The sequence below is a fragment of the Homo sapiens genome, chromosome 1 (genome assembly GCF_000001405.40).
Source record: "Homo sapiens chromosome 1, GRCh38.p14 Primary Assembly".
NCBI lineage: Eukaryota > Metazoa > Chordata > Mammalia > Primates > Hominidae > Homo > Homo sapiens.
Genome location: NC_000001.11, coordinates 155,912,267 through 155,938,120, shown reverse-complemented (window position 1 = coordinate 155,938,120; position 25,854 = coordinate 155,912,267). Strand labels below are relative to the sequence as shown.

Sequence of the window (25,854 nt, the reverse complement as noted above, 5' to 3'; positions counted from 1 at the left end):
TTTTTGACCATGCACCCAACAGAAAGGAAAAATGACCTCAGCCTAACGTATCTCACTTTAGAGAGAGTTTTTCAATTAACAGTAGAACAAAGTGCTATTGAATTGAGTTTAGAAAATCAGATTCCGTTGTATCAATAGAGAAATGTTTTATTATTTTATGTTTCTTTGCTCTGTCACCCAGGCTGGAGTGCAGTGGTGTGATCATGTCTCACTGTAGCCTCAACCTTCTCGATTCAAGTGATTCTGCCACCTCTGCCTCCTGAGTAGCTGAGACTACAGAAGTGCCACCACACTGGCTAATTTTTATTTTTTGTGGAGATGGGGTCTCACTCTGTTGCCCTGGCCTCAAGTGATCCACCAGCCTCGGAATCCCAAAGTGCTGGGATTATAGGCATGAGTCACCTCACTTGGCCATCAAAAGAGAAATGTTATTGGTGAAATTAAGACTTTTATGAGAATTATAAGGCTGGGCACGGGGCTCACACCTGGAATCCCAACACTTTGGGAGGCCGAAGCAGGAGGATCACTTGAGGTCAGAAATTCACGACCACCCTGGTCAACATGGTGAAACTCCATCTCTATTAACAATACAGAAATTAGCCAGGCATGGTGGCAGACACCTGTAATCCCAGCTACTCAGGAAGCTGAGGCAGGAGAATCACTTGAACCTGGGAGGTGAAGGTTGCAGAGAGCTGAGATAGCACCATTGCACTCGAGCCTGGGCAACAAGAGTGAAACTCCATCTCAAAAAAAAAAAAAAGAATTATAAATAAGTGAACTAAACATTTAACTTAAGAAAATAAGGGGGGCCGGGCGCAGTGGCTCATGCCTGTATTCCCAGCACTTTGGGAGGCTGAGGCAGGCGGATCATGAAGTCAGGAGATCGAGACCATCCTGGCTAACACAGTGAAACCCTGTCTCTACTAAAAATACAAAAAATTAGCCGGGCGTGGTGGCAGGCACCTGTATGTAGTCCCAGCTACTTGGGAGGCTGAGGCAGGAGAATGGCGTGAACCCAGGAGGCGGAGCTTGCAGTGTGCCGAGATCGCGCCACTGCACTCCAGCCTGGGCAACAGAGTGAGACTCAAAAAAAAAAAAAAAAAAAAAAAAAAGTAAGGGAGGAAAACAATATAAATTTTCCCAAAAGGAAGGCTGGGTGTGGTGGCTCACGCCTGTAATCCCAGCACTTTGGGAGGCCAAGGCCGACAAATCATCTGAAGTCAGGAGTTGGAGACCAGCCTGGTCAACATGGTGAAACCCCATCTCTACTAAAAATACAAATAATTAGTTGGGTGTGGTGGCACGCACCTGTAATCCCAGCTACTCAGGTGGCTGAGGCAGGAGAATCACTTGAACCCGGGAGGTGGAGGTTGCAGTGAGACAAGATCACGCCACTGCACTCCAGCCTGGGCAACAAGAGTGAAACTTCATCTCAAAAAAAAAAAATTAATATGGAATTGATGAATAAAACTAAAAGCTAGGTTCTTTAACAAGGCAAAAAAAAAAAAAAAGATACGACACAGGAAAGACTAAGGAAAGTAAAAAGAAAAAAGATTTTTAAAAAATTGAAAATATCAAGGGTCGGGGATGATGTGGAGTAATAGGAACCCTGGTACATTGCTGGTGGGCATGTAAAATAGTGTAGCCAGTTGGTTTGGCAGTTCCACAAAAGTTAAACAAGATGTCCATATGACCTAGCAATTCTGCTTCTACATGTAAACCCTAAAGAATTAAAAACAGATACTTAAATACTTGTGAATGTTCACAGCAGCACTACTTACAATACCCAAGAGGTGGAAACAACTCAAATGTTAATCAATGGATGAATGGATAAATTGTGGTCTATACATCCAATGGAAAAGAAATTCAGTGATAAAAAAGAATGAAGTTTATTCAGTGATAAAAAAATGAAGTTCTGACATATGCTACAACATGAATAAACTTTGAAAACACTGTAAGTGAAAGAAGCCAGATACAAAAGGTCACACATTGTATAATTCCATTTATATAAAATGTGTAAAATAGGTAAATCCAGAGAAACAGTAGATTAGTGGTAGCCCATGTCTTGCGGGGCAAGAGAAATGTGAAGTGACTGTTAACAGGTGAGGGGTTTCTTTTTGGGGTGATGAAAATAATCTGGAATTAGATAATGATGATTGTGGCACAATCTTGTGGACACACTAAAAAACACTGAATTGTGCACTTAAATTTACTCTTTAAAAAGGGTAAATTTATGGCATAGGAGTTACATCACAAATTTTTTAAAATGACAAATATAATAAATAATGTAATTTCAATCAGAATCCCAACAGCATTGTGTTTTGGGGAGAAGAGGAAAAGGGGCACTTTGGGGAGGCCGAGGTGGTAGGATCGGTTGAGCCCAGGAGTTTGAGACCAGCCTAGGCAAAATAGTAAGACACCCCCCACCCCCGCACCCCCTACCACCCCGGTCTCTTAAAAAAAAAAAAAAAAAGCCAGGTGTGGTGGCCCGTGCTTGTAGTCCCAGCTACTTCAGAGGCTGAGGTGGGAGGATCAGGAGACTCATTGAAGCTCCAAGACATCCTAAAGGTTAGAAACCTTTAGCCTCGGCAGGGCGCGGTGGCTCACGCCTGTAATCCTACCACTTCGGGAGGCCGAGGCGGGTGGATCACCTGAGGTCAGGAGTTTGAGACCAGGCTGGCCAACATGGCTAAACTGTGTCTCTACTAAAAATACAAAACAACAACAACAAAAAATTAGCTGGGCGTGGTGGCGGGCACCTGTGATCCCAGCTACTTGGGAGGCTAAGGCAGGAGAATCGTTTGAACCCGGGAGGCGGAGAGTGGTTAGCCGAGATCGCGTCATTGCACTTCAGCCTGGGTGACGGAGCGAAACTGTCTCAAAAAAAAAAAAAAAAAAAAAAAAGAAACCTTTAGCCTACAGAATCAACTCAAACTCCTCAGCATAGCATTCAAGGCCTTTCATCTTCTGGCCTCCCACTCCAGCCAGCTCAACCGTTAAGTACACAGATGCCAGAACAGGGTGCTCCATAACCTATGCTTGATCGCCTCTCCAGTACTCAACCGGCTTTTTAGCGTCCCATTCTTAAACGCTCCAGCAAGATGAGCAGCTTATCTTCTTCGACCTTTGCTTAATATACAACTCTATCATACATATTTGCCTGCGTACCTGCCTTGCCACATTGAGAGTACCAGAATGGCAGGGCCTGCGGCTTATTCATCTTTTTATTTTTATATTCCCTGCTTGGTGCACAGAAATGAAGCAAACAAACAGAGAAATTCTCCAAATGATCTTTGCAACGAATCCTTTTCCTTTTCCTAAGTAACAGAAACGTGAAACGGGCAAAAGCCGCGGGAAGGCTGTCTCCCCAGACAGAAACTAGGACTCAACACAAACGTAGCGGAATTTGAGGAGAAACCTGTTTAATCTCCTGACTCATGCATATTGTCTTCTAGTCTAACAACATGCCCACGATAAAGATGGATTCAGCTAGCCCCGATTCCGCATTTATAGTAGGCACAGCAGCCATCTTTCTTAAGGTTAAGGCGCAACCCGGAAGATCACACCCTACCTGCCTCAGAAACGCCAGATGCCTTTAAATCATCGAGAGTCCAATCGGAATCGACATTTTCACCGGAACCGCTCGGCCCCACGACCGGAAGAGGCTGTGCGTAAGAACGTTGGGGGCGGAAGTGACGAGAGGTGGTAGTCGGATAGTTGGCGGGTGGTTGAGTAGAAGCGGTCGCCATGTCCGCGGGGAGCGCGACACATCCTGGAGCTGGCGGGTACGGCTTCAGGGGCGAGGGCATCGGAGCGAGCACTGGGGCGCAGGAGAGGCGGAGGGACCCTGAGAAGCTGCGTATAGGGTGGAAGGGTCCTTAAGTGGGAAGTAAAGGGCTGGACGTTTGGGGAGAAGGATCTTGAGCAGGCCTGGGGCCCTTAAAGGGCCGGCGGGGATCCGAGGGAGGAGGCAAACGGGGACTTTTGGAAGGGCGAGCCAAGGGGAAGGCGTAAACTAGAGCGTGTAGGATAGAGTGGAGTCTTTCGATATAGGTGACAGTAGAAACGAAAGATTTTGGGGAAGGGTTGAAAGTGGGGGTTTGTTAAATAAGCAATAATTGTTTAAGGAGAGGGGAGTTTTAGATTTGGAAGGTGATTCGGAGGTGTAAATGGAATATAATAGAGGGAAAATGGGGTGCTAAGGCGTAGTAAGGAAAGAATAACATACACGAAAGCTTTGGGGCCTAATGTTTTCCTTTTTCTCCATGTAGGCGCCGCAGCAAATGGGACCAACCAGCTCCAGCCCCACTTCTCTTCCTCCCGCCAGCGGCCCCAGGTGGGGAGGTCACCAGCAGTGGGGGAAGTCCTGGGGGCACCACAGCTGCTCCTTCAGGAGCCTTGGATGCTGCTGCTGCTGTGGCTGCCAAGATTAATGCCATGCTCATGGCAAAAGGGAAGCTGAAACCAACTCAGAATGCTTCTGAGAAGGTATTTGAAGTTGAAGGGTCTCCACTAATTGCGAATTTAATAGTTGTTTTGCCGGGCGCGGTGGCTTACGCCTGTAATCCCAGCACTTTGGGAGGCCGAGGCGGGTGGATCACAAGGTCAGGAGTTTGAGACCAGCCTGACCAACATGGTGAAACCCCGTCTCTACTGAAAATACAAAAATTAGTCGGGCATGGTGGCACGCGCCTGTAATCAGCTACTCAGGAGGCTGAGGCAGAACTGCTTGAACCCGGGAGGCGGAGGTTGCAGTGAGCCGAGATTGTGCCAGTGCACTCTAGCCTGGGCGACCCAATGAGACTCCGTCTCAAAAAAAAAAAAAAAAAGTTGTTTGTAATCCTGTAATCGCATAATAATTTGTGTTAGTAAAGGATAAATGGATATAGTAGTTGAGAGATCATTTAGTTTTGGAATGTTCCAGAACACATTTTGTTACAAATACATATTTACGAGGCGTTTTTGATTGGGCTGATTACATTTATGGACCAAATACCTTGTCTTGTCCTTGTTCACTTAGTTCAGCTTAAGCTGTATTTCCATAGTCATTTAAAGCAACATAACATGTTTTTAATATATGTGCTTTTTCCCTGAAGTCAGAGGAGTTCAGGTAAATCAAGTGAGCCCCATAGTGTCATCTCTAATTAGAACCTGTAGGGTTTTATTTATTTATTTATTTATTTTGATAGAGTCTCACTCTGTCACCAGCCTGAAGTGCAGTAGTGGGGTGATCTCGGCTCACTACAACCTCTGTCTCCTGGGTTCAAGTGATTCTGATTCTGCTGCCTCAGCCTCCCGAGTAGCTGGGATTACAGGTGCATGCCACCATGCCCGGCTAATTTTTTTTTGTGTTTTTAGTAGACAGGGTTTCACCATGTTGACCAAGCTCATCTCTGCCTCCCAAAGTGCTGGGATTACAAGTATGAGCCACCAGGCGCAGCCTATTGTTTGCAAAGATTGTGTGAGTCAGTCATCCATTTATAAGGTTTATGAGGAAAAATTAAAAGCATCTTGACAAAGATGTAGTGCTCCTTGTATATTAAGATTTTTAATACTGATGTTAATCGTTTAAGCTCTTTTTTTTTCTTAAAATAATAATCTTTAGGTAGTTGACCTCAGCAGGATACATAAACACTGGATTTAGAATCATAAAACCTAAAAACCCAGAATCCACAGTTTGAAACCCAGAATCCACAGTTACTGGTTACATGGCTTTGGCATAATGAAACTCAGCTTTCTCGTTGGTAATATATACCTGCATTGTGTAGTGCAGTAGTCACTAGCTTCATGTGGCAATTTAAATTAAAATTAAGGGGCTGGGTGTGGTGACTCACACCTGTAGTCCCAGCTCCTCTGTAATTCTTCTTGGATTCTTGGAAGGCTGAGGTGGAAAGATCACCTGAGCCTAGGAGCTTGAGGTTGCATTGAGCTGTCATTTTGCCATTGCACTCCAGCCTGAGCAGCAGAGTGACACCTTGTCTAAATAATACAAATAATTAAATACTCTCAGGCTCCATATCTGTGAGAAATAAATTCCTGTTGTTTAAGCAAAAAGCAAAGCAAAACCAAAATACAATTTAAAATTTAGACCTTTAGTCACATTAGCCACCTGCCAAGTGCTCAAGAGACACATGTGGCTAATGGCTACCATATTCGACTGATAGACTAGAACCCTTGTCACCAAAAGTTCTCTTGGACAACATTGATAAGTACTATTAAAGGCGGCCATAAGGATTCATTGAGATGATAATGTAAATGAATACTATAAGGGGTTAAATAAAGGTAAGGTGATATTGCTGAGTTTGTATTTAGTTTTGCCTCCACATTTAAAAAATGTATTTAATGCACAAAGTAAACAACAGTATGTTACCTTCTTGAGCAGATTTTCTAGACATAGGTTGGGGAGATAGGCCCCTGTAGTCCCAGCTACTCAGGAGGTTAAAGCGGGTGGGTGGATCACTTGAGGCCAGGAGTTCAAGAACAGCCTGGGCAACATGGTGAAACCCTGTCTCTACAGAAAATACAAAAACAATTAGCTAGGTGTGGTGCATGCCTGTGGTTCCAGGGTCTGGCTTGATTGCCCAGGCAGTGACTGTGCAGTGGCACAGTCTCTTCCTCCCAGGCTCAGCCTCCCAAGTAGCTGCGACTACAGACGCATGCCACCATGCCCGGCTAATTTTTTTTATTTTTTGAAGAGATGGGTTTGCCATGTTGCCCACCCTGCTTCAGCCTCCCAAAGTGCTGGGATTACAGGCATGAGCCTGTTTGGTTCCTTCGTTCATTCTTTCTTTCTTTCTTTCTGTCTTTCTGTCTTTTTTTTTTTTTTTTTTGGTGATAGAGTCTTGCTTTGTTGCCCAGGCTGGAGTTCAGTGGCACAATCACTGCTTTCTGCTGCCTCAGCCTGCTGAGTAGCTGAGACTACAGTCTCATGCCACCGTGCCCAGCTAATGTTTTGTATTTTTTTAGAGATGTGGTTTTGCCATGTTACCCAGGCTGGTCTGAAACTCTTGGGCTCAAGCGATCCACCCTCCTCAGCCTCCTAAAGTGCTAGGATTACAGATGTGAGCCACCGGTCCCAGCCTTTTTTTGTAATTTATATATTTATTTTTGAGACAGAGTTTTGCTCTTGTTGCCCAGGCTGGAGTGCGATGGCGTGATCTCGGCTCATTGCAACCTCTGCCTCCCGGCTTCAAGCAATTCTGCCTGAGCCTCCGGAGTAGCTGGGATTACAGGCACGAACCACCACACCTGGCTAATTTTGTATGTTTACTAGAGACGGGGTTTCACCATGTTGACCAGGCTGATCACAAACTCCATGTAGTTTAAATTGAAAGAAACCGGATCAGGTTTTACCATCTTACTGTTTTTTCATTCTTCTTTGTTCTGCTGTAATAGAGTGAGGAATTATTAGTTAGATACAATTTAAGGGTTTTTGAGAGCTTTACAAGGATGGAGTTAGTTGGATTTTATGTTAGGATTATAGGAGTGGCACAAAGACAACTTCCTATTGTATGCATGAGGTATATGTATTGTAGGCATTGCTCCTCTACCTTCTATTGTGTTTTACTCCATGTACAGCCAACTAACTGAGCTATAGAGTATCATAACTTGGCCCTTTAATTTTCTTTTTGAAGGTTGTAGCTTCTAGTCCCTAGAGCTTCTGTAATTAGGTGGTCATAAAAATGCACATAGGGCCAAGGTCACAGAGAAATCTTGATTGTGGCCTTCAAGCAGATTGACTTTATTATTGACTTTATTTAATGTCATTTTAGTGAGATTTTTGTTTGCTTGTTAATTCGTTTATGAAGAATGACCAACTGTGTTTACAGGCAGATGAAGGGAAGGGTAGGGAGGTGTGGGACTTGGGAAAGGATAGTTGTACATTGGATGACTAAAAGGCTTTATCTCAGCTGGGCACAGTGGCTCACGCCTGTAATCCCAGCACTTTGGGAGGCCGAGGTAGGTGGATCACCTGAGGTCAGGAGTTCGAGACCAGCCTGGCCAACACGGTGAAACCCCGTCTCTACTAAAAATCCGAAAATTAGCTGGGCATGGTGCTGCACACCTGTAATCCCAGCTACTCAGGAGGCTGAGGCAGGAGAATTGCTTGAACCCAGGAGGCGGAAGTTGCAGTGAGCTGAGATCACGCCACTGCACTCCATCCTGGGCGACAGACTCCATCTCAAAAAAATGAAAAAATAAATAAGTAAATAAATAAAATAAAAAAATAGACTTTATCTCATCATAAAAACTTTTTAATCTAATTTCTCTTTTTTCTAGCTTCAGGCTCCTGGCAAAGGCCTAACTAGCAATAAAAGCAAGGATGACCTGGTGGTAGCTGAAGTAGAAATTAATGATGTGCCTCTCACATGTAGGAACTTGCTGACTCGAGGACAGACTCAAGACGAGGTGAGGAGGCATTGAGACTCTTTGGGGAGGGCGGTGAGTGGATTCAGATAAAGAAGACCTCTAAATAGACAGGCGTCAGATATTTATTAGTGGGTTTGGGTCATAGTCTCTAAAGTCAGGATTGGGTTTAATTTAACTTCAGAGGAAGATAATGGAATGGATATAAATGAATTCTCTGGGTTGGTTTGAGTAAGAAACCATGGAATCAAAATTTCAGATACAGGAGAGAATTCTTTCCTTCTTTACTTGGTTGAATGAATGAATGGGAAGAAAATCTGTCTGCCATTGAAATCAACCAATTGCCACATTTTTTTAATTGAACATTTCCTTTTTTAGATCAGCCGACTTAGTGGGGCTGCAGTATCAACTCGAGGGAGGTTCATGACAACTGAGGAAAAAGCCAAAGTGGGACCAGGGTGCGTATTCTCTTATCTTGTTTATGGAAGGGTTGGGTGTATGACTCACGTTAGCCTCATGTTTTTTATCCTTAGGTAATACGTGTACACAATATTTGATTCAAGGTTTGAGGGGTATGTGTGTGCACACTATAGCAGAATTCTGGATATCAAACAGATACAAGATGTTGGGACCTGTTTTTGGACTTTTATTTCACATTTAATGTTTTTATTGGAGGAAACAAATTATAGGAAAGTGTAAAAGAAGATACTAACCACTAACATTTAATGTATATACTCTTTTTTCTTCTTTCTGTTCCATATGATCTGCAGAAATAATGTATATACTTTTTTTTTTTTTTTTTGAGATGGAGTCTTGCTCTGTCGCCCAGGCTATAGTGCAGTGGCGTGATCTCGGCTCACTTCAAACTCTGCCTCCTGGGTTCATGCCATTCTCCTACCTCAGCCTCCCGAGTAGCTGGGACTACAGGCACCTGCCACCACGCCTGGCTAATTTTTTGTATTTTTAGTAGAGACAGAGCTTCACCGTGTTAGCCAGGATGGTCTTGATCTCCTGACCTTGTGATCCACCCCCCTCGGCCTCCCAAAGTGCTGGGATTACAGGCGTGAGCCACCACGCCCGGCATTGTATATACTTCTTAACTTTTTTCTGTGGAAATAGTTCCCCTCACAAATGGGCTCTTTTTTTTTTTTTTTTTTTTTGTCTTTATGATGGTTATAGTTTGTGATTATTCAGGTAAAGACTTAATCTGTTTCATTTTATTCCTTCCATCATTCCGTGTTTGAGTTTCTCTTCACTGTCAGTTGATAGGTACTTAGGGAATGCAACATTTTTAACATTAGCTTAAACTACACAAAATAAGGTGGCAAAATTTAATTCCTACCCCAAGCCAAGAATTTATTTATTTATTTATTTATTAGAGAAGGAGTTTTTGCTCTTGTTGCCCAGGCTGGAGTGCAATGGCGCCATCTCGGCTCACTGCAACCTCTGCCTCCTGGGTTCAAGCAATTCTCTGGCCTCACCCTCCCGAGTAGCTGGGATTACAAGCATGCGCCACCACACCCGGCTAAATTTTGTATTTTTAGTAGAGATGGGGTTTCACGATGTTGGACAGGCTGGTCTCAAAAGTCCTGACCTCGGGTGGTTCCCCTGCCTCGGCCTCCCAAAGTGCTGGGATTACAGGCATGAGCCACCGTGCCCAGCCCCAAGAATGTATTTAAACTTTCTATATGTGTTGATTGCTGTTTTGAACTTTGTCTTTAAAAAGTTATTTTTACCTGCTACTTTTTATTAACTATATATGGTTATTGATCACTTTATTATAATTTAAGTCCTCTTCACATTTAGAATCTAAATTATCAGTTGATGTAGACCTTAAGAGGTTTCTCTATATGCATGATCAATCTTTCCCCATTAATTTTGTGTGTGTGTGTGTGTGTGTGTGTGTGTGTGTGTGTGTGTGGTTTTTTTTTTTTTTTTTTTTTTTTTTTTGGAGACAGAGTCTTGTTCTGTTGCCCCGGCTGGTGTGCAATGGCATGATCTTGGGTCATTGCAACCTCCACCTCCTGGGTTCAAGTGATTCTTGTGCCTCAGCCTCCTGAGTAGCTGGGACTACAGGCGTGCCACCATGCCCGGCTAATTTTTGTAATTTCAGTAGAGATGGGGTTTTGCCATGTTGGCCAGGCTGGTCTCAAACTCTTGGCCTCATGTCATCCACCCACCTCAGCCTCCCAAAGTGCTGGGATTACAGACATGAGCCACAGCACCCAGCTTGCCCCATTGATTTGGATAGACGAGACCACATTTGTTTATAACCTATTAGACAACCAGCAAAAAGGAATTCTGTTCTTAAATATTGGGTTATCTCAATAGACTGGAAAATAATGGTAGTGAATCCATAAGAACAGATTTGATCTGAACTCTGTGGGCCAGTTGACTTTTAAAATCAAGAAGTTTATTTGTTCCCCAGCTGTTAAAGCATGTTCTGAGACATTAGCTAGCAAAAACCCTTCTAATGTATATAGTCCCTTTTGGTTATTTGGAAACTTGAAACATTACAAATTAGATCTGGTGACCCATTTGACTCCTTTTTTGGTTTTGACCACATTGAGATCATCCTTTTTTGTTTCTCTTTATAGGGATCGTCCATTATATCTTCATGTTCAGGGCCAGACACGGGAATTAGTGGACAGTAAGTAATGTTTTTGGCTCACGTAGCACTTTTTGTGAAGAGCAAAGTACAGGGCTCTGTATAGCAAGTTGGCAAAGTGTCCCTGATGGCTGTTCTAACCCTTGTTCATGAACTATACACGAATTTGTATGGGAGTTTAGAGGGATGGAGAGCCACATATTTGGGTAACGTATAAAGCAGATTTACGGTGAATAATTGAACACTGGCCTGCCTGGGCACTAGTCAGTTCATTCCATTCAGTTTTACTGTCTGTGTTTTTCTAAGGAGCTGTAAACCGGATCAAAGAAATTATCACCAATGGAGTGGTAAAAGCTGCCACAGGAACAAGTCCAACTTTTAATGGTGCAACAGTAACTGTCTATCACCAGCCAGCACCCATCGCTCAGTTGTCTCCAGCTGTTAGCCAGAAGCCTCCCTTCCAGTCAGGGGTATGTTTTGGGGAGGGATCGTTAATAGCATTATCATTTCTATAAAAATGATATGTGCTGGCCAGGCACAGTGGCTCATTCCTGTAATCCCAGCACTTTGGGAGGCCAAGGTGGGTGGATCATTTGAGGTCAGGAATTTGGACCAGCCTGACCAACGTGGTGAAACCCCGTCACGAACATTACCCGGGCATGGTGGCAGGCACCTGTAACCCCAGCTACTTGGGAGGCTGAGGCAGGAGAATTGCTTGAAGCCGGGAGGTGGAGGTTGCAGGGAGCTGAGACCATGCCACTGCACTCCAGCCTGGGCCACAGAGCAAGACTCCATCTCAAAAAAAAAAAAAAAAAAAAAAGTGCCAAGTAATACATACAAAGAAAAAAAAATCGTGAAATTCCAAATTCCAATCCCGAAAGTTACCTGCCATAGGTATTCTGTTTGTGTGTTATCCAGCTCTCCACGGTATAATGAACACCTGATCACACATTTCTTCATATTGATATATTCTAGAAAGGAGATTGATAGAGCAGAAGGTATACATGTTGTACATTTTGAAGTTAGTGGTTTTAATTTGTATTTGTAAACTTGATGACAACTGGAGGACTAAGAAGGCTGAGTCTGATGAAGTAAGACTTTGCTGATACATTCCTCCTAGAAAAAAGGGTTGGAGAGAGCAGCCTTCACTGAAGAGTATCACAGGGCTGACTGTACTACCCAACACTCTACCCCAGTTTTACAGGAGACTGTCTTTGCTATAATTTCTTATTGACTTATTTCAAAGATTGAGGATTTAATTATATATTCTGTTTAATCTGAAGTATTCTGTTCTTCCTACAGATGCATTATGTTCAAGATAAATTATTTGTGGGTCTAGAACATGCTGTACCCACTTTTAATGTCAAGGAGAAGGTGGAAGGTCCAGGCTGCTCCTATTTGCAGCACATTCAGATTGAAACAGGTGCCAAAGTCTTCCTGCGGGGCAAAGGTTCAGGCTGCATTGAGCCAGCATCTGGCCGAGAAGCTTTTGAACCTATGTATATTTACATCAGGTATGGATGGATAGGGCAGGGGACATGTGAATTCTTGTCAACTTGTTGGTACAGTCAGGAGTGATTCAGAAGGAGCAAGAGAAAACTGGGTGTAATTAATAGTAATGAGGGATTTAGATAAATGCTAGGAGTAATTACTTTATAATTAGTTAAAGAAATTGTAGAATTGGGGCACGGTGGCTCATGCCTGTAATCCCAACACTTCTGGAGGCCAAGGCGTAGGACCACTTGAGCCCAGGAGTTTGAGGCCAGCCTGGGCAACATAGCAAAACCCCATCTCTCCAAAAAAATTTTAAAAATTAGGCGGGCACGGTGGCTCACACCTGTAATCCCAGCACTTTGGGAGGCCGAGGCGGGTGGATCACGAGGTCAGGAGATCGAGACCATCCTGGCTAACAAGGTGAAACCCCGTCTCTACTAAAAATAAAACAAAAAAAATTAGCCGGGTGTGGTGGCAGGCGCCTGTAGTCCCAGCTACTCAGGAGGCTGAGGCAGGAGAATGGCGTGAACCCGGGAGGTGGAGCTTGCAGTGAGCTGAGATTGCGCCACTGCACTCCAGCCTGGGTGACAGAGCGAGACTCCATCTCAAAAAAAAAAAAAAATTAGCCAGGTGTTATGGTGTACACCTTAATCCCAGCTGCTCAGTAGGCTGAGGCAGGAGGATGGCTTGAGCCCAGGAGATTAAGGCTGCAGGTAGCTGTGTTTGCACCACTGCACTCCAGACTGGGTGACTGAGTGAGACCCTGTCTTAAAAAAAAAACCAGGTGCGGTGGCTCACACCTGTAATCCCAGCACTTTGGGAGGCCGAGGCAGGCGGATCACTTGAGGTCAGGAGTTCGAGACTACCCTGGCCAACATGGTGAAACCCTGACTCTCCTAAAAGTATAAAAATTAGCCAGGTGTGGTGGCAGGCACCTATAATCCCAGCTATTCAGCAGGCTGAGGTAGGAGAATTGCTTGAACCCTGGAGGCGGAGGTTGCAGTGAGCTGAGACTGCTCCATTGCACTCCAGCCTGGGCAACAGAGCAAGACTCCATCTCAAAAAAAAAAAAAAAAAGAGAAATTATTGAATTAGGAGACGGAATTATCTCTTTAGTATTCAAGTCCTTTGGTTTTGTACAAGTCTGTACAAAAGTGAATCTTGGCCTGTAATCCCAGCACTTTCAGGGCCGAGGCGGATGAATCAGGTCAGGAGATTGAGACCATCCTGGCTAATACAGTGAAATCCCGTTTCTACTAAAAATAAAACAAAAAAATTAGCCAGGCATGGTGGCAGGCGCCTGTAGTGCCAGCAACTCGGGGGCTGAGGCAGGAGAATGACGTGAACCCAGGAGGTGGAGCTTGCAGTGAGCTGAGATCGCGCCACTGCACTCCAGCCTGGGCAACAGAGCAAGATTCTGTCGCCTCCTGCCTCAGCGTCCCAAGTAGCTGGGACTATAGGCACCCGCCAACATGCCCGGCTAATTTTTTGTATTTTTAGTAGAGATGGGGTTTCACCGTGTTAGCCAGGATGGTCTCGATCTCCTGACCTCGTGATCCGCCTGTCTCGGTCTCCCAAAGTGCTGGGATTACAGGCGTGAACCACCACGCCCGGCCAAAAAAAAGCAAATCTTAAAGTGAGCTGTGATAAGTCTGAAATAATTTTCATTTAAACCTATGTCAATATTAATACGTTTTATAGTAATTTTATGAACTTTAAACATTTTTATATCGAGAAGTACCATTACTCAGAGAAAGACTAATAAAATATTTGTGGTAATGATAGTGGTTATATCTTAAAAGACTTATGTTTTGTGTTTCTGTTTTGTGATTTTCAGAGGCCTAGATTTGAGCTACAGTGAATGTATTAATGTAGATATGTAAAATAGCATGGAAAATGAAAGCAGAATTCTGCATCTTTTATTTATTTTTCTCTCCTTTGAATTCCTGGTTATTTCTTTGCAGTCACCCCAAACCAGAAGGCCTGGCTGCTGCCAAGAAGCTTTGTGAGAATCTTTTGCAAACAGTGAGTTGTATTTGTCTGATACTCATTCAGAAGAGCAATTGCCATTTTGGAGTATGTCTTAGCTGTTTCTTTCACCTGTTTAGTTTCCTAGTACTGCTATAACAAGTTATGGCAGTTGGGTGGCTTAAAATAACACAAATTTATTCTATCACAGTCCAGGAAGCAGAGTCTGAAATCAAGGTGCTGGCAGAATTGGTTCCTTCTGGAGTCTTTGAGAGAGAAATCATCCCATGCCTTTCCTCTCTCCTAGCACCTGGTCATTGTGTTGGTTTTCTTTGGCTTGTATTAGCATAACTCCAGTCTGAAGTAAGGGTAGAACTATAATAATTTAAAACCAGTTAGACATGTTTGGGGGATGATTGCTCATTTGATTATGCATTCTTTTTATTCTATAAACAACCAAAAGTTAAACCTTAGGACTGTCTTTTTTTTTTTTTTCTGTCGCCCAGGCTGGAGTGCAGTGGCGGGATCTCGGCTCACTGCAAGCTCCGCCTCCCGGGTTCACGCCATTCTCCTGCCTCAGCCTCCCAAGTAGCTGGGACTACAGGCGCCCGCCACTACGCCCGGCTACTTTTTTGTATTTTTAGTAGAGACGGGGTTTCACCGTTTTAGCCGGGATGGTCTCGATCTCCTGACCTCGTGATCCGCCTGCCTCGGCCTCCCAAAGTGCTGGGATTACAGGCGTGAGCCACCGCGCCCGGCCAGGACTGTCTTTATAGCACTTAGAGGAAATCAGGTTTTGCACTGAATATGTTCAACCTTGTGTTCTCTGGTGCCTTATTGGGTAGCTCATGGTTGGTTTTTTTGTTTGTTTTTTTACTTTTGTACATAGCACCTGATTTACCAACCCTTGTACCGGATAATTTTCTTGACTATTTCCCATCTTTGTTGGTACTTGAGGTTATGGACTTAATAATATATAGGAAGGAAGTATGAGGAAAATACGAAACCCTTACTAAATGTGAGCTCCTTGAGGAAAAGTCACCCAGTAAATGTGAATGAATTGAGGTCTCACCAGTTATACTAACAACTTGGAAATTTCCTAGTTACTTAATTTCTGTGGCTTTCTAAATGATTCTGTACCCCAGAATTGAGTATGGTTTAGGGGATTCAGGATTATTCTCCTAATTCCCAAAATTGGCTTAATAATTTATAGATTTGCCTTATTAAAATGTTGAGGTGGGTTGGACACGGTGGCTCATGCCTGTAATCCCAGCCCTTTGGGAGGCCAAGGCGGGCAGATAATGAGGTCAGGAGTTCGAGACCAGCCTGGCCAACATCGTGAAACCCCCGTCTCTACTAAAAATACAAAAACTAGCTGGGTGCGGTGGCACGCGCCTGTAGTCCCAGCTACTTGGGAGGCTGAAGCAGGAGAATCGCTTAAACCGTGAAGGTGGAGGTTGCAGTGAGCTGAGACCATGCCATTGCATTGTACCCTGGGTGACAGAGTGAGACTGTCTCAAAAAAAAAAAAAAAAAAAAGATTTGCAGTGATACAAGATCGCGCCACTGCACTCCAGCCTGGGTGACAGAGCAAGACTGTCTCAAAAAAAAAAAAAAATGTGGGTTAAACAAGTTTAAATTTGATTGGAACATTGGTAGATATATTTTAATTCCTAATGGCTTTGGTCCTAGAATTATGTAATCAGACCCTTGTAAATGCACAGCTTCGGCTGTCCCATGTTAATTTGTTTCCCCCTCTCTTTCAGGTTCATGCTGAATACTCTAGATTTGTGAATCAGATTAATACTGCTGTACCTTTACCAGGTGTGTACATCTTGAAGTGTTTAAAAAATATTTTGCTAGTGATAGTTATGTGTAACTATGATACTTGAGGCTAGACTGTGCCAGGGCACTATTAATGTTCCCTTTAATTTAGGGTAATTTGGAAAGCCATTCATGCCTCAGTATTTTTCTTCCCTAGATATTAAGTTTAATATTCAGCTAAATTGTCTCATTCTGCTGCAGCTGATTAAACACTTTTTTTCTTCCCCCTCAGGCTATACACAACCCTCTGCTATAAGTAGTGTCCCTCCTCAACCACCATATTATCCATCCAATGGCTATCAGTCTGGTTACCCTGTTGTTCCCCCTCCTCAGCAGCCAGTTCAACCTCCCTACGGAGTACCAAGCATAGTGCCACCAGCTGTTTCATTAGCACCTGGAGTCTTGCCGGCATTACCTACTGGAGTCCCACCTGTGCCAACACAATACCCGATAACACAAGTGCAGCCTCCAGCTAGCACTGGACAGGTAGGATGTCAGGATATGCAACAACATATTACTGAATTTAGGAAAAACTGGGGAAAGAGGGGAAGTAGTGGTATTCCAGAAATAAATCATGTGATGTGGAATGTCTTTTTCCTGCTGTCTTCTGTGTTCCTACCACCAACCTACCTGAATATTTTGGATTAGTGTGTATGTGTGTATGTCATCCTGAAGTTTATATTTTCACAAGTCTTGCACACCAAATAGCTGTTTAAAGTGGGGATGGTGGGCACACTTGCTATAAAGGGTCAGATGGCAAATATTTTAGGCTTTAAGGGCCATACATTCTCTGTCACAACTATCACACTCGGTGGTTGTAGTGCAGAAGCAGCCCGTGGATAATACCTCAATGAATAAGCATAGCTGTTGTACTCCAGTAGAACTTTATTTACAAAACAGGTGGCAGGCCACAGTCATAGTTTGCCATACCCTTGGCCATTGTTTGCCTAACCTTACCTTTGCAGTGTTAACAAAGTCCTCAAGGAGAATGGGGCTACCTTCACCACACCTCTCAGTAATTGGAACTGAGTTAGCATTTCAAATCTTAGAAGGAAACATAATCTCAGCATCTGGGGAGGCCGAGGCAGGATTGCTTTAGCACAGTTTGAGACCAGCCTAGGCAACATAGTGAGACTCCATCTCTACAAAAAAAATTAACTGGACATGGTGGCACATACCTGTATTTCAGCTACTTAAGAGGCTGAGATGGAAGGGTCCCTTGAGCCTAGGAGGTCATGGATGCAGTGAACCAAGATGGTGCCAGTGCACTCCAGCCTCAGTGACAGAGTGAGACTGTCTCAAAAAAAATTTTAAAAAGCAACATTATGTAAGAGATATATAAACTTTTCAAATGTAAGGATTATAAATGCTGGTATGTTTCTTTTATAACTTAAGAAATGTATACTTAAAAAAATTTTTTTTTTGAGACAGAGTCTCGCTCTGTTGCCCAGGCTGGAGTGCAGTGGCGCATCTCAGCTCACTGCAAGCTCCGCCTCCCAGGTTCACGCCATTCTCCTGCCTCAGCCTCCCAAGTAGCTGGGACTACAGGCACCCACCACCACGCCTGGCTAATTTTTTTGTATTTTTAGTAGAGACGGGGTTTCACTGTTAGCCAGGATGATCTCGATCTCCTGACCTCATGATCCAACTGCCTCTGCCTCCCCAAGTCCTGGGATTACAGGTGTGAGCCACCGCACCTGGCCACAATTTCTTAAATCATGAAAGTAGAATTTTAGGAAAAGAGTAGATGTCTGGATAATAATCTGGATGGATTATATATACTGGTCTTGGAGGCAGGGGAGAGACTTAATGAGAGCATGGTAATGGATTTATGGTGGGTCCTTCTCTGTGGGCCTCTCATAGTGTACCCATGCCATAGCAAATGGCAGCCTCGAACCATTGCCCAGTCCCCTTACCTGTGGGCTGTGAGCACTGAAGGGGGTTGCACAGTGTGTAACAAAAAAGCTATGAACTAAATTTTATTTGTGGTCTCTAGTCAAATTTATTTTATTTTATTTATTTATTTTATTTTTGTTTATTATTATTTTTTGAGACAGAATCTCATTCTGTCACCCAGGCTAGAGTGCAGTGGCACCATCTTGGCTCACTGCAAGCTCCGCCTCCCAGGTTCACGCGATTCTCCTGCCTCAGCCTCCCGAGTAGCTGGGACTACAAGCGCCTGCCACCATGCCTGGCTAATTGTTTTGTATTTTTAGTGGAGATGGGGTTTCACCTTGTTAGCCAGGATGGTCTTGATCTCCTAACCTCGTGATCCGCCCACCTCAGACTCCCAAAGTACTGGGATTACAGGCGTGAGCCACCGCGCCCGGCCTAATGTTTGTATTTTTAATAGAGATGGGGTTTCACCATTTTGGCCAGGCTGGTCACAAACTCCTGACCTCAGGTGATCCGCAGCCTCGGACTTCCAAAATGCTAGGATTATGGTGCAAGGATTACAGGCATAAGCCACCGTGCCCAGCCAAAATTATTTTAATTTTTATATTTAGACAGCTCTGTAGGTCTCTACTTTTGAAGGTCAGTCCTTTGTAATTGGGAAGCAATACAGCAGAGTGGTTAAAAGCAGGGAGTTAAGGCAGCCGCAGTGGCTCATGTAGCTGTAATCCCAGCACTTTGGGAGGTTGGGGCGGGTGGATCACTTGAGGTCAGGAGTTCAAGACCAGCCTGGTCAACATGGTGAAACCCTGTCTCTGCTAAAAATACAAAAATTAGCTGGGCGCGGTGGCAGGCATCTGTAATCCCAGCTACTTGGGAGGCTGAGGCAGGAGAATTGCTTGAACCCAGGAGTCAGAGGTTGCAGTGAGCCGAGATTGCATCACTGCACTCCAGCCTGGGTGACAAGCAAAACTCAAAAAAAAAAAAAAAAAAAAACTGGGAGTTAGAATTAGATTGACAGGGTTGATCTTGCTTTCCCATTTTTGAGCTGTGTGATATTGGGATGTAACTTGCCCTGTCTAGGGTTTGGTTTTCCTTAGATGTAAAATGGGCACAGTGATAAAAATCTCAGAGGTTTGCAAGGATTAAGTAAGATGATCCAATCTGTCAGTAAACGTTAGCTGTGTTATTAATACAGTCAGCCACCTTACAACGTTTTAGTCAGTGATAGACTGCACATATGATGCTTGTCCTGTAAAATTATAGTAGCATATTTTTACTGTACCTTTTCTACATTTAGATACACAAATACTTACCATTGTGTTACAGCATTCAGTACAGTAACATGCTATACAGGATTGTAGCCTAGAAGAATAGGCCATATCGTATAGCCTAGGTGTGTAGTAGGCTATTTTCATCTAAGTTTGTATAAGTACACATTTGTTAAATGACAAAATTGCCTTGCAGTGCATTTCTCAAAACATATTCCCACTCAGCGTAGTGGCTCACACCTGTAATCCCAGCACTTTGGGAAGCTGAGACAGATGGATCACAAGTACAAAAAAAAATTAGTTGTGCATGGTGGCACGTGCCTGTAGTCCCTCGGCAGGCTGAGGCAAGAGAATCGCTTGAACCTGGTAGGCAGAGGTTGTAGTGAGCCGAGTTGGCACCATTGCACTCCAGCCTGGGAGACAGAGCAAGACTGAGACTCTGTCTCAAAAACAAGACAAAACAAAACACGTATTACCATTGCTAAGCAATGCATGGCTGTATAGAGTTTTCTCTTCAGACCTGCCTATTCCTCTGTAATATATACTGTCTTCTGATACCCCTTATTCCTTTTTGGAACAACATCTTCAAACATTAGACTTAATCTTGACATAGTAGCTTAGTGATAACTAAGGGAGTGGAAGATGAAATTGCTTCTTCCACAAGCATTAGCAGCATTTATAAATAACAGAAAGCTTATTACAGAAAGCTAATCACATCGACTGTCAGTGGTTGGAGTTCTGTTTGTTAATGGTCATGTTTACTCCTAGTAGCCCAAATGCATAACAGAGTTTTCTTAAAAGTTCAAAGCACTGTATATAGGTTGTCAATTTCATGTTTCCCTAGGATGAAGGTGAGAAGGCTTAGGTGATAATGTTACCAAATTATACATGAAGGAAACTAAGGACCTGAAGATGCAAAATTCATATGATACTTATTGATCCTTAAAGTATATTGTAATCATTGTTTACTTATTCCTTGGGCATTCTCACACTTTTTTTCTTCCTTGGTTTGTTTTGGTCCCAGAGTCCGATGGGTGGTCCTTTTATTCCTGCTGCTCCTGTCAAAACTGCCTTGCCTGCTGGCCCCCAGCCCCAGCCCCAGCCCCAGCCCCCACTCCCAAGTCAGCCCCAGGCACAGAAGAGACGATTCACAGAGGAGCTACCAGATGAACGGGAATCTGGACTGCTTGGATACCAGGTTAAATAAAATACCCTGTTTTCCTATCTTCACCTTATTCTTCTACTATATTCTCCCTTTAAAAAAGATAAATTCACATCATTCTCCCAGTACTAGGATTTCTGCTTTCTGGAATTCATTTTGGTTAGGTTTTTTATCCTATTCAACAGACTCTTGAAAGCCTCTGAGAGTTCTTACTTTCTTATACATCTCACTCAAAGCTCTTGATCTACCAGTATGTGGTTTGTATTTAAAACCTTGGCTTTCAGTGGTGCTCTCTCTTTTACCCTCCACCTAAAAAAGAGAGTGATATCTCCCTCCAGTCTCCCCACCCCTCAAGACTGCTAGAAAAGGAGTGATTCTGTACATGTAATTGTAAAGTTAGCCACTAAAGTTAAAAAGATTCTTAATTTGTAGTTTTGGTGCAATTTTATCAGAAGTACCTTTCCATTTTGCCAGAATCCTTGAATCATTCTTTAAACCAAAGCATTTTTTTATAGTTTCTAGCTAGGTTTATAGAAACTAGTGGAGCTATGGGCAGTCAGTTAAAAACAGGCCATAGATAGCATAATGAATTATAACACCCCTGTCCAAGTCCTATAGAGAAAAAAAAAAATCCCTACTTTTGACTACAGTTACACAGCAGATCCCAAAGAGCTTTGTAGTAGTTTAACGTACTACAACTTATCAGAAAGATGAGGCACTTGACAGTTACATTAAGGAGCTAAAGTCAATACGGCAGTTGTAGATTTGCTAATGCCACTGTATTTTTCTGCTCATAGCATGGACCCATTCATATGACTAATTTAGGTACAGGCTTCTCCAGTCAGAATGAGATTGAAGGTGCAGGATCGAAGCCAGCAAGTTCCTCAGGCAAAGAGAGAGAGAGGGACAGGTAAGTTGGAATAATTATGCAAATGTATTCAGATGTTATTTGTTTGCACCATTAGTGAGAGTAATGATCATTGCTATGAGCTTAAGTATTCTGAAACTGAAATGAAATCTTTGAATCAAATATGCTTCTGTTTGTTGTAATTGATGCAATGAAGTAAAATATGATAGGCCTTTTACAGATTTAGAAGCAGTTATATTCGGTTTTGAATAATTTATTACTTGTTCAGACATCTTTCTTGACTTCCATTGTCTGCATCTTGGCCATTTTCCTAAGGGTAGACAGTAACAGAAATGTTACATAATTCAGCTATTTTTGCTACTTTAGAGTCATTAGAATATCATGGATGGAAGTACATGAATGTGGGAGTTCAGCCTGCCACACAGTGCTTGAATTTTCCTTTCTTATATTAGTATATTAACCTTCATAAGAAAGGAGCTGATATCTTTCTATAACAGTTCATTCGATTTTTGTCATGGCAATTGCTGTGTAGACAGGCCTTATACTTTTATAAAGGGGCTGGGGGAAGGTGGAAGGGGTTGAAATTAATGGTTAAAATGAATTTGAAGGATTGTCTGCAGACATAATTGCACTTCTAATCCACTGGATAAGTTAAGAAAATTTAAATTGTCTGAAAGAAAGTTTCATTTTGTTTTTCAATAGGCAGTTGATGCCTCCACCAGCCTTTCCAGTGACTGGAATAAAAACAGAGTCCGATGAAAGGAATGGGTCTGGGACCTTAACAGGGAGCCATGGTGAGTGTGATATAGCTGGGGGAACAGGGGAGTGGCTAAGACTGGTCTAAAGCTATTAGTTTTCTCAGCCGGGCGCAGTGGCTCACGCCTGTAATCCCAGCACTTTGGGAGGCCGAGGTGGGCAGATCACCTAAGGTCAGGAGTTCAAGACCAGCTTGGCCAACATAGTGAAATCCCATCTCTACTAAAAATACAAAAACTAGCGGGCATGGTGGTGGGCGCCTGTAATTCCAGCTACTCAGGGGGTTGAGGCAGGAGAATCGCTTCAACCTGGGAGGCAGAGGTTGCAGTGAGCCAAGATCAGACCACTGCCCTCCAGCCTGGGCAATAGAGCAAGACTCCATCTCATAAATAAATAAATACATAAATAAAGCTATTAATTTTCTAACCTGATGTTCATTCAGGTGTTTAATCCAACCTCTATAATCTGTTGGCCAGTGAAAATACTTTTGGGCTGGGCACGGTGGCTCACGCCTGTAATCCCAGCACTTTGGGAGGCCAAGGTGGGCGGATAACCTGAGGTCAGGAGTTTGAGACCAGCGTGGCTAACATGGTGAAACCCCGTCTCTACTAAAAATAGAAAAATTAAGCTGGGCATGGTGGTGCATGCCTGTAATTCCAGCGGCTTGGAAGGCTGAGGCAGGAGAATCACTTGAACTTGGGAGGTGGAGGTTGCAGTGAGCCAAGATCACACCACTGCATTCCAGCCTGGGCACTAGAGTGAGACTCTGTCTCAAAAAAAAAGAAAGAGAAAGAGAAAATAGTTTCTAAAAAATTGTATACAGACAACCTTTTATTTCCAACAAACGTGTGCCGAGAGAGAGAGAGAGAAAATAGTTTTAAAAAAATTGTATACAGACAACCTTTTGTTTCCAACCAACGTGTATCTAGAAAAGAGTTAGTCGACTTATTTTATACATAGCATCAGTGAATAGTAATGAGTGGTAGGTCATTTCAAAATCCTGTTGCCTATATTATGTGAATACCAGGAGGTCATCTGATACGGACTTAATAAAGGTTGATTTTGCTTTATATTGGGAGCTGAGCCACACCTCCCCTTATAACTCTATTGGTCAGTAATGGTCAGTTTGTGGCTGTTAGGAAAATGTTGCCTTTTAGCATTCCAGAACTCTAAATCCTGTAGAGGTACATGGGATATTTTATTCTTTGCCTGTACTCATAAAAATGAACAGAAGAAAATACGTTTTTTTCTTTTCTTAACTTCTTTTCTTTTAACTCTTTAAAAGGTGAAATATCAGCCCTCAAGAGACTCACTTGCTAACTTTCCTTTTTTTCTTTTTTTTTCTTTTTTTGTGTTTCTTTTTTCTTTCTCTGTTTTCTTACATGGTTCTGGTGGATTCACATTTGCTGATGCTGGTGCTGTTTTTCGTGTGATCTTCAACGTTTTTGGGTGACCATTGACCCTGTGACCTCAAAATGGTGTCCAACTAACCACTTAAAATTAACATCTTTTTTTTAATTAACGAATTTATGGTATTTTTTTTTTTCCCTTGGCGGGGATGGGGTTGGGGTTGTTTTTTCTCTATTCTAGATTATCCAGCCAAGAAGATGAAAACTACAGAGAAGGGATTTGGCTTGGTGGCTTATGCTGCAGATTCATCTGATGAAGAGGAGGAACATGGAGGTCATAAAAATGCAAGTAGTTTTCCACAGGGCTGGAGTTTGGGATACCAATATCCTTCATCACAACCACGAGCTAAACAACAGATGCCATTCTGGATGGCTCCCTAGGAAACAGTGGAACAGAGTTTTGACCCTCAGTGACTCTTCTTAGCAATAATGCATGCATTTGATTTAACAAGACTCTGGGGCCTGTGCTGGGAACCATCTGGACCTTTGCAGAAGTTAGAGATTCAGTGCCCCCCTTTCTTAAAGGGGTTCCTTAACAACCACAAAAATCCTTATTTCTGCAGTGGCATAGAATCTGTTAAAATTTAATTAGAATCACAAATTTATCTCAGAAGCTTTTTAACAGTTGGTGAAATGTGCTTGTCCAACAAAGCATCCTAACAGGGTCGTTCCCATACACATTTGACCTGGTCAGCCTTTTCCAGGTGAATAGCCCCAGTTCTGACATAAAGAAAGTTTTATTTGTATTTTACTACTGTTTGGTCAATTTTGATATATAACTGGTTACAAACAGAGCCTTACTATTTATTAGTGGGGAAATGATTTTAAGACCGTCCTTTTCAGTATTTAATTCTGACAGATCTGCATCCCTGTTTTGTTTTGGATTATTTCTGTTTTGGAAAATGCTGTCTCATTTAAAACTGTTGGATATAGCTGGATCCTGGATAGGAAAATGAAATTATTTTTTCATTGTGTTTTTTAATTGGGGTGATCCAAAGCTGGCACCTTCAGGCACATTGGTCTCATAGCCATTACTGTTTTTATTGCCCTTCTAAGATCCTGTCTTCAGCTGGGTCAGAGAAAACTTCTTGACTAAAACTGGTCAGAACTCATCACAGAAATGAAATACAGTGGTCTCTCTCTCCCAGAACTGGTTGCAGCTAAAACAGAGAGATCTGACTGCTGGCTATAGGATTTTGGACTTAATGACTGAAATTGCAAATTGTCCTTTTTCTTGGCATTACAGATTTTGCCAAAATAACTTTTTGTATCAAATATTGATGTGTGAAAGTGAAGGAGCTAGTCTGCTGAACCAGGAATAGTTTGAGATATTGAACTGTCATTTTTGCACATTTGAATACTTTGCAGGCTGGCTTTGTATAAACTTATCCTCTGGTTTCCTATATGTTGTAAATATTTAGACCATAATTTCATTATAAATAAATCTATAAATATTCTGCTTGTGGTTTCTCTGTTTTCTTCCACAACCCATCCATACACTGAAATTCATAAACTTTTTTACTCATAGCACAATGCAACTATAACATTACCAGAAAAATACATATACAGACCCCAAGGTTTGCATATAGTTCCCAGAGTTATGTAACTGCAAAATGTACCCTTAAAGTTCAAATGAAAAGGTTAAGGATTATTATGCTGGATATTTTCCATTTTCATATTTTAGCCCTCCTTTATTTAACAGCGTATTAAAAGGACTTCATGAATGAAGCGGGTTTTAAAGGAAATATGTTATTCTTGGAAAGACATTTTATTTTTTTTTGAGATGGAGTCTCGCTCTGTCACCCAGGCTGGAGTGGAATGGTGCAATCCTGGCTCACCGCAACCTCCTGGGTTCAAGTGGTTCTCCAGCCTCAGCCTCCTGAGTAGCTGGGATTATAGGCACCTACCACCATGCCCAACTAATTTTTATATTTTTAGTAGAGACAGGGAGTCACCATTTTGGCCAGGCTGGTCTTGAACTCCTGATCCTCAAGTGATCAGCCCACTTCAGCCTCCCAAAGTCCTGGGATTACAGGCGTGAGCCAGCACTCCTGGCCAGAAAGACTTAAATTTTGAGACGGAGTTTTGCTCTGTTGCCAGGCTGGAGTGCAGTGGCACCCTCTCAGCCAGCTAACTGCAACCTCCACCTCCCAGGTTCAAGTGATTCTCCTGCCTCAGCCTCCCGAGTAGCTGGGACTTATAGGCGCATGCCACCACACCCAGCTAATTCTTTTG

General features: G+C 42.9%; 1 protein-coding gene, 1 long non-coding RNA gene and 2 other non-coding genes across 4 annotated transcripts, besides 4 other annotated features; 3 read left to right on the top strand and 1 right to left on the bottom strand.

Moving 5' to 3' along the window:
* Window positions 1–1,865: 1,865 nt before the first annotated feature.
* On the bottom strand, window positions 1,866–3,653 carry LOC107985207 (uncharacterized). The gene is made up of 2 exons (XR_001738244.2): window positions 3,572–3,653; window positions 1,866–2,873 (listed from the first exon to the last, which is right to left on the bottom strand). It is a non-coding gene; the product is annotated as an uncharacterized LOC107985207 (long non-coding RNA).
* Window positions 3,003–4,202: an enhancer, noted in NCBI's record as "MED14-independent group 3 enhancer chr1:155903710-155904909 (GRCh37/hg19 assembly coordinates)". NCBI's record gives its function as "activates an origin of replication core promoter dependent on BRD2, BRD4, P300/CBP and CDK7 cofactors, and independent of MED14, by STARR-seq in HCT116 cells {active_cell/tissue: HCT116}" and the evidence as "EXISTENCE:reporter gene assay evidence [ECO:0000049][PMID:35650434]".
* Window positions 3,472–3,631: an enhancer, noted in NCBI's record as "active region_1824". NCBI's record gives its function as "activates an Ori minimal core promoter by ATAC-STARR-seq in GM12878 lymphoblastoid cells {active_cell/tissue: GM12878}" and the evidence as "EXISTENCE:reporter gene assay evidence [ECO:0000049][PMID:35858748]".
* Window positions 3,581–4,147: an enhancer, noted in NCBI's record as "NANOG-H3K27ac-H3K4me1 hESC enhancer chr1:155903765-155904331 (GRCh37/hg19 assembly coordinates)". NCBI's record gives its function as "activates a minimal SCP1, AML or CMV promoter by ChIP-STARR-seq in primed H9 embryonic stem cells {active_cell/tissue: H9 hESC(primed)}" and the evidence as "EXISTENCE:reporter gene assay evidence [ECO:0000049][PMID:30033119]".
* KHDC4 (KH domain containing 4, pre-mRNA splicing factor) lies at window positions 3,708–25,076 on the top strand. Its single transcript, NM_014949.4, has 14 exons — window positions 3,708–3,785; window positions 4,272–4,488; window positions 8,281–8,409; window positions 8,746–8,825; window positions 10,965–11,017; window positions 11,282–11,445; window positions 12,278–12,489; window positions 14,434–14,494; window positions 16,203–16,260; window positions 16,493–16,746; window positions 20,449–20,622; window positions 21,384–21,496; window positions 22,157–22,248; window positions 23,801–25,076. Exons 1-14 carry the CDS (start codon window positions 3,748–3,750, stop codon window positions 23,998–24,000), a joined length of 1,845 nt encoding a protein of 614 aa, NP_055764.2. The 5' UTR covers window positions 3,708–3,747; the 3' UTR covers window positions 24,001–25,076.
* Window positions 3,732–4,041: an enhancer, noted in NCBI's record as "active region_1823". NCBI's record gives its function as "activates an Ori minimal core promoter by ATAC-STARR-seq in GM12878 lymphoblastoid cells {active_cell/tissue: GM12878}" and the evidence as "EXISTENCE:reporter gene assay evidence [ECO:0000049][PMID:35858748]".
* On the top strand, window positions 12,035–12,163 carry SCARNA4 (small Cajal body-specific RNA 4). The gene has a single exon (NR_003005.1).
* SNORA80E (small nucleolar RNA, H/ACA box 80E) lies at window positions 18,079–18,212 on the top strand. The gene has a single exon (NR_002974.1). It is a non-coding gene; the product is annotated as a small nucleolar RNA, H/ACA box 80E (small nucleolar RNA).

Coding starts and splice junctions, on each gene's coding strand:
- KHDC4 (NM_014949.4), top strand. CDS start 3,748: ATGTCCGCGGGGAGCGCGACACATCCTGGAGCTGGCGG. Junction 8,826..10,964: donor AAAGCCAAAGTGGGACCAGG/GTGCGTATTCTC, acceptor TTCTCTTTATAG/GGATCGTCCATTATATCTTC. Junction 20,623..21,383: donor CTGGACTGCTTGGATACCAG/GTTAAATAAAAT, acceptor TTCTGCTCATAG/CATGGACCCATTCATATGAC.